The sequence below is a fragment of the Homo sapiens genome, chromosome 3, assembly GCF_000001405.40.
Source record: "Homo sapiens chromosome 3, GRCh38.p14 Primary Assembly".
NCBI classification, from domain to species: Eukaryota; Metazoa; Chordata; class Mammalia; order Primates; family Hominidae; genus Homo; species Homo sapiens.
This window is the reverse complement of record NC_000003.12, coordinates 31,568,131-31,581,027: the sequence shown is the minus strand read 5'-3', so window position 1 is coordinate 31,581,027 and position 12,897 is coordinate 31,568,131. Positions and strand designations below refer to the sequence as shown.

General features: G+C 34.1%; 1 protein-coding gene across 3 annotated transcripts in view; it reads right to left on the bottom strand.

The window, feature by feature from the left end:
* Nucleotides 1–12,897, bottom strand: part of STT3B (STT3 oligosaccharyltransferase complex catalytic subunit B) — a 104,692-nt gene that overhangs the window by 56,589 nt on the left and 35,206 nt on the right. For all 3 annotated transcript variants that reach the window (NM_178862.3, XM_011533465.2, XM_017005858.2), the window contains exons 2-3: nt 4,524–4,632; nt 932–1,219 (exon numbers count right to left, since the gene is read on the bottom strand). In NM_178862.3, the coding sequence (NP_849193.1) occupies nt 932–1,219; nt 4,524–4,632 (397 nt within the window). The remainder of the gene's footprint in view (nt 1–931; nt 1,220–4,523; nt 4,633–12,897) is intronic.

Sequence of the window (12,897 nt, the reverse complement as noted above, 5' to 3'; positions counted from 1 at the left end):
TGTATTATTTTTATGATTTAAAATATTATATAGTTTATTAAAAGGCATTCAACAGAGGTTCTCGATTTTAAGGTGTTTTTTTTTTTTTCTCCTCAGCTGCACACAATAAACAAAGAGTTTTTAAAAACACTTTTTGATAAGTACAGCAGCACTGGCAACATCCTACTGCTTGGTATCATCTTCACTTGAATGGGTATTTTTCTTTCTTCTCTTTTAAACTCAAGATTAAGACACTGTCTATACTGATCACATTGCAACCTTCTCCTCCAGAATTCCATGCTAGAGCAAAAATACTCATTAGCCAAGTAGTTTTGAACAATATAAAATAATTATTAAAGAGAAAATTTATGCTGCCATTCACCTAGCTACCTAAAAATATACTTAATAAAATATACAAAAACATATTGACACACACAAATTTTGGTAATTTCTATCACTGGAAAATTACAAGCTAAAGCTAAAATAATAAATACATAAATAAATGCAAGCTCTAAAGTGAACCCAAGTAGCATCATATTTCATACACAGGGGAAAAAATCATTAAGTTTAAATAGCCTGGCAGCAGCAAAATAAATAATGCTAGTTTCAGAAACAATTTAAAATTCTTAGCCATCAAACCATGCTTCAACTTTCCTGGGTAACTATTTCTTACCTATCTCCCCAAAACAAAGAAACAAAAATATCAACAGATTGTTTTATGATAGCTCTTCTTTTGGAGTTCTGACTTATTTAAAAAGGATATTTACACATAACTTGAGAGATGCCTAACATATTTTAAAATGTTATCCATTATTAAATTGATTATGAACAGTAATACAGATCTCTGTACGCAACTACATAATTTGTAAAAGACAAATCTGCGTACAGCCTAAAGTGTTTCAGGAGAAAGGTCACGAGTAATAATGGCAGCAAAACATTAAATGTCACTTACCCATAAATAGTATGTGAACTGAAGTGCAAAAATAGCAATGCCTTCATTATCAAAGGATCCAGCTACTGACCGAGATATGTAGCCTGGTACAATAGCAATAAAACAAGCAGCTAAAAGTCCTGCTCCTTGGTTCCAAAGTTCTCTTGTAAGCAGGAAAGTAGATATAGATGTAAGGCCGCTAAAAGTTGGTGCAAGGAACACACATACGTCTCTTATGTGAACAGTTATGTTCAATGTATTTAAAATCCAATGAATAAGGCCAGCGGTTATCATCAACCCTGGGTAAACCTAGGAAGAAAAAAATGGAAAATTTAATTACATATAAAATGAGACACAAAAATATTAATGTATGTACTCTTCATCATTACATTTTGTTTACCTTACATAAGTTTGAAAGCAACATCTCAAAACAATTTGCCTTCTTTATAAACTACAAAAAAAAACCCACACCTTTTTGTGTTGCATACAAAGAACTAGCTCATATCTGGAGGAATACATAAAAAGATCAGGGAGAATATGAAACAAGAATGATTAAAATTCAAAATGTTTAACAATGTTAACTGTAGGTAACTTTTTTACTGATCCCACTAACTTTTTTTTTTTTTTTTTTTTTTTTTTTATCAAAACAGGGTCTTAGTCTAGCTTATCCTTGAGTTTGGAGTTCTAACATACTCCAATTTTGCCCATACTTGTGTGTACATAAGAAAATGAGAAAAGGAAGATAAAGAAAAATTACACACAAAATTATTTAAGTCATATTTATAAAAAAATGTTCCCTCCTTTCAAGCCCTAGATTTGGAAAGTAAGCAAGGAAAAGAGGGAACAGTCTAGCTAGGAAAAGAGGGAAGAGTCAGTTGGTGAATCCAGAGATAATGTTTTGGGACTCCTGAAAAATTAAATTTTTTATACCACATAAAGTACTTAGGGATAAAAGGGAAATAATAAACTAGAAGAGGCCAGTTAACAGTTATACGTACCCTCACTCTAAAAGAGGAACATCAAATATTAAAAGGATTCAAGAACAGTGAACAGGACATTCTTCCTGAGTTATTATTCAGTGACTAAAACATGCATTTACATCTGCTCCCTTAGGTAAGTCCTAAAAGACTCTTTTTTTACTCCATAACAGAAACTACAAAGGTTATACATTTCCTTTCCTGGCTATACAATTTGCAACTGCAACCTCTCTCCCCCACACTCCCGTCTTTAACTCTCTTGCTTTTTCTCCATAATACTTATCATCATTTGACGTACTATTTATTTTATTTATTTACTTTCTATTTATTAACTGCCTACGCTCACAAGAATATAAGCTCCAGAATAGCAGGAAATTTTTCCCCAGCATCCAGAAAAATAACTGGCACAAAGTGGATGCTCAATACCTACTGCATGCATGGAAGGAGAAAGGGGGAGGGGGAGGAAAAAAAAGCATGATAATTCATCCACATTCTCAACACATAAAAATTCTGTTCTACTTCAGATTCAATACTAGGTACCAGTGTGTAATTTTGTCAGCAATACTGGGGGGGAAAAAAAAACAAAGTGAATTTAAAATATTTTTCAAGATAAGACAATATATCCATATAATACGGTAGACTGAACTGACACACACAAAAACAGCCAAGATTCATAGAAGTACTAAATGAAAGAACCAAAAATAAATCAACAAATAAAACCCCAACAACAAAAAAAGCATAATCAAGCTCAAGATAGGGTATTCTCCAGATGCCAAAAATGAAGAGGAAATTCAAAGTAGGTGCTGATGTCATGGGAGCCCACAGGAGAGAAGAAAAAAGCCAAACATAACCAGGCCTGATACAGGCCTTAAGGAATGAAAATGAGGGGGTTTCACCCAACACAGGGATCAGAGTGAAGACCTAATTACCAGCAAAAAGTCAGGACCTGCTTATGAAACTAGACAAATTCTATTCATCCATCAAGCCTTCCAATGCTCAGAGCAGAAACAAAGTCCTAAAGGAGAATATGAAACTCATTCAAATGTGTCAATGTGGGTTCTACATTTATAATAACCTTAAGTATAAGAAACCTCAAACTAAGTAAAACTGTCCTAAAACCAGTGAAACCCCTAAAATTCTCCAGCAAAGGCAAATAAGAAAGATTATTACAGGGATGATCCCAAATCTCAGGACATCAGGACTCTTAGAGAAAACAGGCTTCCACTGAGGATTAATTTAAGATAAAGTTATAAACTGCACAAGAAAAACTATAGTTATCAAATGTAATACAATTTAGGTATATGATAAGATTAGCACCACAAGAACTGCAGATAATAGCTATCTGCCGTATGTACTACCCATTTAATACTTCTCCAATTCACAATGCAGAACATGATAACGACTATTGTGCCTTCATCTCTTTATGTCTTTCTCTCTATTTACATCAAGGATAAGAAGATGCCCCAGACTAGAAACACAACACCTTACTATCATGGAGAACATGTTCTTTCTAAACACAAAGGGAACATTTATAAAAATTTGGATATATCCTAAGCCACAAGTCAAGTCTCAATAAATTTTAAAGGATTGAAATTACATAGAAGGTGTTCTCTAACCACAATATATTTGAAGTACAAAGCAAAAAAACATAACTGGGTAATCCCCTTATGTTTGAAATTAAATACAATTCTAAATAATCCATGAGTCAGGGAAATTATAATGAAAATAAAGATACATTTTGTTTTAAATGATAATGAAAATACTACACATCAGAACTTATGAAATGCAGCTAGTACAGTGGCTAGTGTGTAGTTTCTAGGCTTAAAATGCATCTCTTAATAATGAAGAAAAGTTGAAAATTACTGAGAAACCATCTCAAGAAGTCAGAAAAAGAACATGAAAATAAACTCACAAAAGAAGAAGAAAATAAATTAAAATTTAAAAAATGCAAAACAAACCTATGCTAGAAGTAATCAACAGAGTCAGAAGTTTCTTTGGGTTAAGAAAAACCCTAATAAAATGAATAAGCCTGGCAAAATTGATTTAAAAAAATCAAACATATATTTCTCCGATACAAGACAATGTTGCTTTGTCTTTCACCTTCATTTCTCCTTATGTCCCAAATCCTAAAAATATTTGCCTTTGTGTCATCTTTCTGGATATCAGAAGTCTGCATGAACTATAATCTTTAGTCAATTACCTGGAATAATTTGGAATGTCTCCATATTCAGGGCCTGAAAAATCCTAATTATCTGATTATTCTAGATATATAATTATCATGATTATTCTACGTTTCTATCTCCTTCCAAATTGCTTTTTCAACCAAATTGCTATAAGAGCAAATACACAAATAAACTGAACTTCATTCAGATACACTGTGACAGCAGATCCCCACCCAGCCTCCACCACTTGTCAAAAAGAGTGGCTAGTGTGAGACAACCCAAAAACAGGTTGGGGATTAAGGGGAGGAGGTATCAAGAAAAGAGCCTAAGTAAACTGAATACTGGATAATAAGCCACAGAAAAATTTGTTAACTATACAAAGCTTTCAAGAATCCCTACCACCTTGGCAATTAATGATTTACTCAAGTAACAATAAATGTTATAATTAACATAAAGAACTGCTAATATACTTACAGTACCACCTACTATTCTTCCTAGTGGATACCATGCTCTTTCATCAAACCAATTTAAAAATTCATAGAACCCATGAGATGCAAGATGATGTGTTGATCTATAGTTAAACCTAGAGAAAAGAGATAAAAAGAAATGTTATAAAACTGCTTAATAGAAATAGCTCCTTCTTTATATTAAACTCTGTGGCTACATAAATGTATCTTTCAGAGCGTTTTCATCAAACTTATATAACATAATCTGAAGATATCAAAAGAACATGCTTATACCTCTACATAAATAAAAACGCCCCCAACTTCAAACCCACACCTACAAAACTAGTAATGTTCAAAATAACATTTAGCCATTGCTTGGGGTCCAGGTGGTAGAGGGCTATAAAGAAGTTCATAAATCTCAAAAGATTAAGAACTGCTGACAGAAGATAACATCAAAATGGAAGAAACGGTACACTCACCAGAATTGCCCAAAATCCTGCAACCCTAAAAACATTGGCTTTAAACTATAATAGCACTAAAAATATAAAGAGAATAAACCATAGCAGCACTATAAAACAAGAATATGGCCTTATAGAAAAAGAAATTATAATTTCTGAGACAAATGAGAAAAAATGAAATTGAAGAAACCAGGGCCCAAAATGAAAGGCAGAAGAAAACCACAAACCATAGAGGGCAATTCCAGGGATATTCCATGTTTAGTATAAAGCAGCTGTCATGGGCAGGGGAAAAGCCTGGAGCAATCCTCAGGGTAATGCCATTAGGTATACTCAGTCAGGTCAATCCCCTTCCCCCTACTATTTCGAAGCAGGGAAGTGGGCATCAGAGGTGTCTGCCTGAGGTAGAAGCACTACACATAGACAAGTGAGTCAAGAAGCAGAACGATGCTGGATACAAGATGAACAGGAAATCCTTATACCCCAGATCAGTTTGATACATCCTTTCCAGCAGCAAGTTATGATCTCAACTCCAACAATCACTAGATGCAAGCTTTGTAGCATTTTTACAGTCTTTTCCAATACTAAAATAAGCAACATATCCCCCCCCCAAAAAAATCAAGCATTTGACAAAAGCAATCACCATGACAGCTAAATATCAAAATCAACAAATAGAAAAATTAATACTGTAGAAACAGAAGCGAGAATATATTCAGATGGTTAATATAACCCAGAGTTATATTAACTCTGAAAGAGTTATTAATATTAAACTTTCAGACCTGAAAGGAAGTATAACCTAGAGGTTGAGAGGTCAGGTTCTAGCATCATACTGCATAGGTTTGAATGTTAGTTCCACACTGACCAGCTATGTGACCTTGGTTGGGCAAGTTACTTATGTTCTCTGCATTCTAGTTTCTTCATTTGTAAAACAGGGATTAACAACAGTACCTATGATAGTACTAGTGTAGCTATAAGCAAACAATACAGCATCTCTGAAGCACTTAAAGTCTATAGTTAATGAAACAGACTTATGATAAAGGATCCATTTAAGATTTTGAATGGCAAAATTGTAATTGCCAAGATAAAATAAAAGATAGGCTAAATAGCATAAAGGACAAAAATGAAGAGCAAATTAGAACAAGATAAAAAGTATAAAAAAATTTAAGTAGTCTAGTTCTTACACTGATATAAAACAAAAATTTTTTTTCCGCAGAGCATACACATCCCAATACATTTCAAAATACTGAAGTACAACTTAAAATCATTAATTCAGAGAGAAAGGTTTTCTACAAAGGAATGACAAAATTAGATTAATACCTTCTCAGTGGAACCACTGGATTGCTAATAAGGCAAAGGAGTAATATATCCAAATTTCTGAGGGGAATTTTAAAATCAGAATTTTAAGTAATAACTTTGTGTGCCAACAACATGGAAAGCTAAGCTAATGCTAGAAATGCTACCCTGCTCCCTTCCTCTTCCAAGAAGTATTTACCAGATCAGAATTTAAAAAGGGATATCTTCAAATGCCAGAAACAAAGTAGTGATTGTATTTACAAAGCGAGGATTATGGAAAGGCTGTCTAGTAAAAGATGGAAAACAATCTAACCACCACCATGGAAGTGACAAAGTTCTTCTCTATCTAAAGGCTTAAAAGGCTCCAATAAAAAAAGCTAAATTAAACACTGTGCTAAGCATCAAGGGTCTAAATTTACAAAGAATTCCCAAGACAAGAAATTAACATTGAAAACAAGATCCAAACACCTGGATTAGCAATAGAAGCAAAAACTAAAAATAGCTCTACCCAGATAAGCTCATAAACAACAGTTAAACTAAGAGATTCACCACACAAAGTTGAGTATACCCCAGAAAGAGTAACACCCCCCCGAAACTTCTGGAAATATTTTAATGGAAGAGGCCTAGTATTTTAGCAAGAATACCAAGGTTTTAAATTTTCAACCTAATTTTTCATTTTAAAAAACTGACTTCAAGGGACTGCTAATAACACATTTTAAAAACCAGGAACCATGAGAGTCCAACCTCATAAAGTTTTCCTGACAAGTATTTTTTCACTTTCCATTTTATATAATTCTTGGCCTCTCCCTCTTTATCAAATCATTCTTCCTTTGGCTTTAATGACTACAACAGTCTCTTGATTTTTTTACCCCCACCTCTCTAATCTTCTCTGTTTTCTGTATAGGTAGCCTCCTCTACCTAAGATACTCTTATTAATTCACTCTAAAATCTCTGCCGAAAGGATGTCATTCACCCAAGTCTTCAATTATTACCAGTATGCCCACAATTCACTAATATCATCTCCCTAACTAGATCTTTCTTCTCATGTCCAAACCAGTGTTATGTGACTACCCATGTGGAATGTTTTTCTTGAATGTCACAAATGCATCTCAGACTCCACATTCAACTAAACTCCTGATCAGACACCTACCATCCACTCCCAAAACAAACATATGCACTATATCTGCTTTCAGTATTCTCTTACCGCCACCTAAGTTGAAGAAATCTAGGTGTCATTTTTGAAAGTTCCTTCTCTCTCACATCCTATACAAAAATCATAACAAGGTTGTCACTTCCTAAATATCTCTGAAATCTGTATACTATTTTCTTATTCTGCTACTAGCACTGTAATCCAAGCTATCATCTTTTAACTAGACTACTGAAATAGCCTCTAACTGGTCTCTTTACATCCATTCTGCCCACTTCTAGTTCCCCAATCTGTGCACTCTGCCACAAGAAGGAAGTTCTTTTCAAAATGTAAATGTGATCATATTGCAACTCTCTGAATTATTCAAAGACTTCATCACTTTAAAATTAAAGCAGAAAAACCTCCACTTCTTAACATAATGGTCAAAACCACACAGTCTACCTCATACATAACTCTAGTCTCATCTCACACCGTATTACCTCTCTTCTTTCCATCTTTCAGTCCTCCAAGCTCACCTCATTCCTTCCTGTTACAGGATCGTTAAGACTGCTAATCCCCTCTGCCTGTATCACTGATGTCTCCCTCCCTATCCCAGTTAACTCATCCTGCAAACTTCAACACATTTCTAAGAGATTCTGTCATTTTTCCATCTTGACATAGATAAAATTTCACATCTGTTTCCTTAATATCTATTCAAATAGATAAATACTCCTAAGAAGACATCACTGTGTCTCCAACACCAAGCACAGCATCTGGTACTTCACAAACTCAAAGGACATATGAGAATTTTGTTTCGGTTGCCCATGCTTCTGCAGTGCAGTGGTGCGATCACAGCTGCAGCTTCAGCCTCCAAGTCTCAAGTGATTCTCTGACCACAGCCTCCCAAGTAGCTAGGATTACAGGTGTGTGCCATCACACTCAGCTAATGTTTTATGCTTTGTAGAGATGAGGTCTTGCTTTGTTGCCCAGACTGGTCTCCAACTCTTGGGCTCAAGCAATCCTCTCACTTCAGCCTCTCAAAGTGTTGGGATTACTGGCGTGAGCCATCGCACCAGGCCAAGAATATTTTTAAAAATATAAATGTAAGTTCAAACTTACAACACTTAGTCAATAGTAAGAACAATTACATTGTTTCAATGAACACAAAAATCTTAAACTTGAGGTTAGAGATCATAGCTGCAATGATGCCAACCATGTCATGAATCTACTTCTGTATTTTGTTTTGGTTCACAAAATTGCAAAAATTTTGACTCATAGAGATAAGTGTCAAAGACTAAATTTTTTAAAAAAAGTTTTCCTTACTGTTAAATTCTACAATTAAATAATACAGAAGTTTGTTTGGGGCCTAAGAGAAAATTCTGGTTCAAGGTTGAGTAATTACATATAAGAACTGCTTGCATTCCTCATCATATATATATATAATATAATATATATAATTAATTATATATTATATATCTCATATATAATTAGCTATATATTATATTATATATAAATTTAGATCAGGTGCTTCCTTTTTGAGATATATAATATATATATTTAATATCTTAATACTTATATATTAATATATTTAATATATTAATATATGATATATTAATATATCATATATTAATATATATTAATATGTTTAATAAAATAATTATGTATTAATATATTTAATATTGATATATTTAATATTTTAATATATATTTAATATTATATATAATATATATGATATATAATCTCAAAAAGGAAGCACCTAACCTAAATTTATAACATATCATGAACTTATGTTACAGATTGAGTTGTTACTAAACAAAGCATAGTCTGATTATTTTCATTCATGCAAATTCCCAGGATACCTCAGTTGGAACATTAGCAATTCAATCCAAAGCAAATATAAGGCATCTGAGCCTAATACATGGCTCCAAATCTATCTCAAGGACTTCTCTGTTTCCTCCAGCTTTAGCTGCCTGATTTTCTTTTCCTCTGTTCATGTAAATATGAGTAAGAATATGATTGGCTCAAATCATTTCGTACAAAGTCACACATCACAGGTAACAGACAATCTATGTGTTGGCTGCCATGAGATCCCATGCTTGTAATCCAATACCTGTAGCCAAAAGAGCAGGGTCATATGATATAAAACATGGCTGTTTTGGCTTCTTTGCATGTGCTGTGAGTAGAAGATGATGGGCATGAGAATTGTGCAAGGGTTGTGAATGTAGTAGGCACTATAATTCATTTTCCTAGAATAAAATAAAGCCCTTAGTGATGCTGAAAATACTTGGATACTTAGTGCTTCACCAAAGTATTGAAGGCATAACTGGCTTATTTGCTTCTCTTTTTTACACCTCCTCTTCCAAAAAAAAAAAAAATGCATGAGGCTTTCCAGTAACACTTTTTCTCCCTTTTCCCCCCTTAAGACTACCCTTAAAATCCACTTAATAAAACCTATAGTGTGATTATCTCTGGACAGTGCAGTCTACACAGGATTAGAGCTGCCTGTTCATGTCAGAAGACATAGCAATACCTATGTAATTTTTTTCTTCCTAGTTGACAAATACTCTCCTCTTGACCAAACATTAGGTTTCTCTAAACCCTCTTCTCAACTAGGCTTTGACCTTGGGCTTCAGTGTCTGTTCCTGTTGGGCCTGGACTGCCCAGTTACAGCAAGAATCCTGTTAAGTCAGTTCAGAAAGAATCCCTACCCTCCATTTCTGATCACCTCAATATGATCAAATTCCTTATCCCCAGGATCCCCCAGGGTATCTGGTCACCCTGGTCTGCCTTCAGCAAGAATCCCTGTAAAGCTAGTTTAGCCAGAATCCCCCTACTCCTTTCCTTACATCCGTGTTTTCCACCCACTGACCCTATCCCTGCTCCTTGACTACAAATCTTCCATTTTCGTTGTATTCAGAATTGAGCCCAGTTCCATACTTAGATGTCTCTTCCCTATTGCATTAGTTCCTGAATAAAATCTGTTTTTATCACTTTTTAAAAAAAGGTACTTGGATTGACCATATTGATCCTATAACTACTCTTTTCCATTCCATTTTTAGATAACTAAAAACTGAATGTATTTATCACACCTGCTTTTTGAGATGTTTCAGCATGGTCTTTTCCTCAGCCCTTGGCTCTGTCTACATAGAAACGTGCCATAGCCAAGTACTTTATTCTCACTTCTTCATACGATCATCTCAGACCTGAAGTTCCTAATCATTTTATAAGAAGTCTTCTCTAATGTTTCATCCTCCTCCTCCCAGTCTACCTTAATTTCTGCTCTTAAAACATGTTGAAACCTCTACTGAAGTTCACCTCACAATGAACTACATTTTCTTAGTAATTTTTGTATCTTGGAGTTATCTCATAGTTTCTGGCAGTTCACTCATGAGGTTCAATTAATGCTTGCTTAGCTAATTACTCCTTTTTAGCATACTAGTATCAACACTTACTTTAATTTTTGTCTTCTATTCCCTTCTTCATTAAACTCAAACACCTGTATGTACAAAGGTAGTCTTCAATTTTGGCATGCCCTACTTACATATTTTTTTAAATATTTAAATAGCTGAAAGGAGAGTGTTATAGATGAATCATAAACTGAAAACTGTTGAAGCTGAGTGATGTATTCATGGAGGTTCATTACAGTATTAGCTCTACTTTGCTGTATGTTTGAAATTTTCCATAATGAAGGGTATATATACGTAGATATAGCTTATTATCTATACATATATTTATAAATATGTACTTATAAAATTTATATGATTTACATACATAATGACACATATGAGTAACATAATACATATATATGCAAACTCTATTATGGAAAATTTCACACACTCACACATACTCTCACACACAATTATAGTTTTCCCCCAATAAAGCTAGGTGAACTGGCTTAGAAATAATGTTTTAAAAATTAGCAGTCACCAAAATAAAAATAAAAGAGAAATCAAGGAGTAAAAAACGATGTCCAATCTCACATATATCCTCCTTCTTTTAATACTGTCAATGCAAGTTTTACTATTTTAACTATAATAAAAGAATCTGTTTTGAAGCAAGTGTGACAAAAAATTGCTAAGTATATTTGGTGGTAGTTTAATTCATTATGGTCTTTTACTTTTGGTTTATTTGAAATTTTCATAAAAGTTAACAACAAAAACAAAAACACACCTCCTCCAACTTCTCTTAACCTGATTTTTAGAGCTAATGAACTTTTTCTGCAAGGGGCATTTAGGGAAAAAGAGACCGTCTCCTAAGGTAGCAAGAAGATATTAAATTTTGGAATTCAATTTATGGAAAAAAATGGTTATGTTTTTTGGGTTCTAGCACAGTTAGTACAATACGGTATTCAAAAACATTAAAGCATATGGCTGATGTAGTGGCTTAGGTCTGTAAACTCAGCTACTTGGGAGCCTGAGGCAGGAGGATTGCTTGAGCCCAGGAGTTCGAGAACAGCTTGGGGAAAGAAAAAAAAGTTTTTTAATTAGCCAGGCATGGTGGCACATGCCTGTAGTCCAACAACTCAGGAGGCTAAGGCAGGCGGATCACTTGAGCCCAGAAGTTTGAGGCTGCAGTGAGCTATAATCGCACCACTGTTCTCCAGCCTGGGTTACAGAGCAAGATCCCGTCTTTAAAAGAAACAAAAAGAAAGAAAGAAAGTAAAGAAAAGAAAACTCAGCTTAAATAGAACTTTATGAGCTGGTAGGTGTATCCAGTAAATACTGCATTATTTCCTTACATAAACAAACACTAGGAATATCAACCTATTTGTAAACCAGGGCTTTTACAAATAAAAAGGGGAAGTCACAAGGAGCTGCCTTTGCATTTTCCTTCCATAGATCTTGTCAGAGATCCAATCATTTGATACATTTGGTTTCAGATTTATTTCATCTTATATTGAAACACCTAATTTACACTCAAAACAACAACAAAGAAATCTCATGATTATGTCCTGAAGCAAAATACCACAATATACTTTTAATCTTAGGTTAAAAAAAATTATATCTCTATAAATGGCCAACAGGTATATGAAAAGATGTTCAACATCATTAGTCATCAGAAAAATGCAAATCAAAACTATAATCAGATAACATCTCACCTCAGTTAAAATGGTTTGTATTCAAAAGACAGGCAGTAACAAATGCTGGTTAAGATGTGGGGAAGGGGGAACAGTCCTATACTGTTGGTGGAAATGTAAATTAGCACAGCCACTACGAAGAACAGTATGGAGGTTCCTCAAGAAAACAAATAGAACTACCATATAATCCAGCAATCCCACTGCTTGGTACATATCCAAAGAAAGAAAATCAGTGTACCAAAGAGACACCTGCACTCTCATGTTTATTGCAGCATTATTCATAATAGCCAAGATTTGGAAGCAACCTAAGTGTCTATCATCAGATGAATGAATAAAGAAAATGTGGTACTTGTATTCAATAAAGTACTATTTAGCCATAAAGAAAAGAATGAGACTCAGTCATTTACAACAACATGGATGGAACTGGAGAGGTCATTATGTTAAGTAAAAT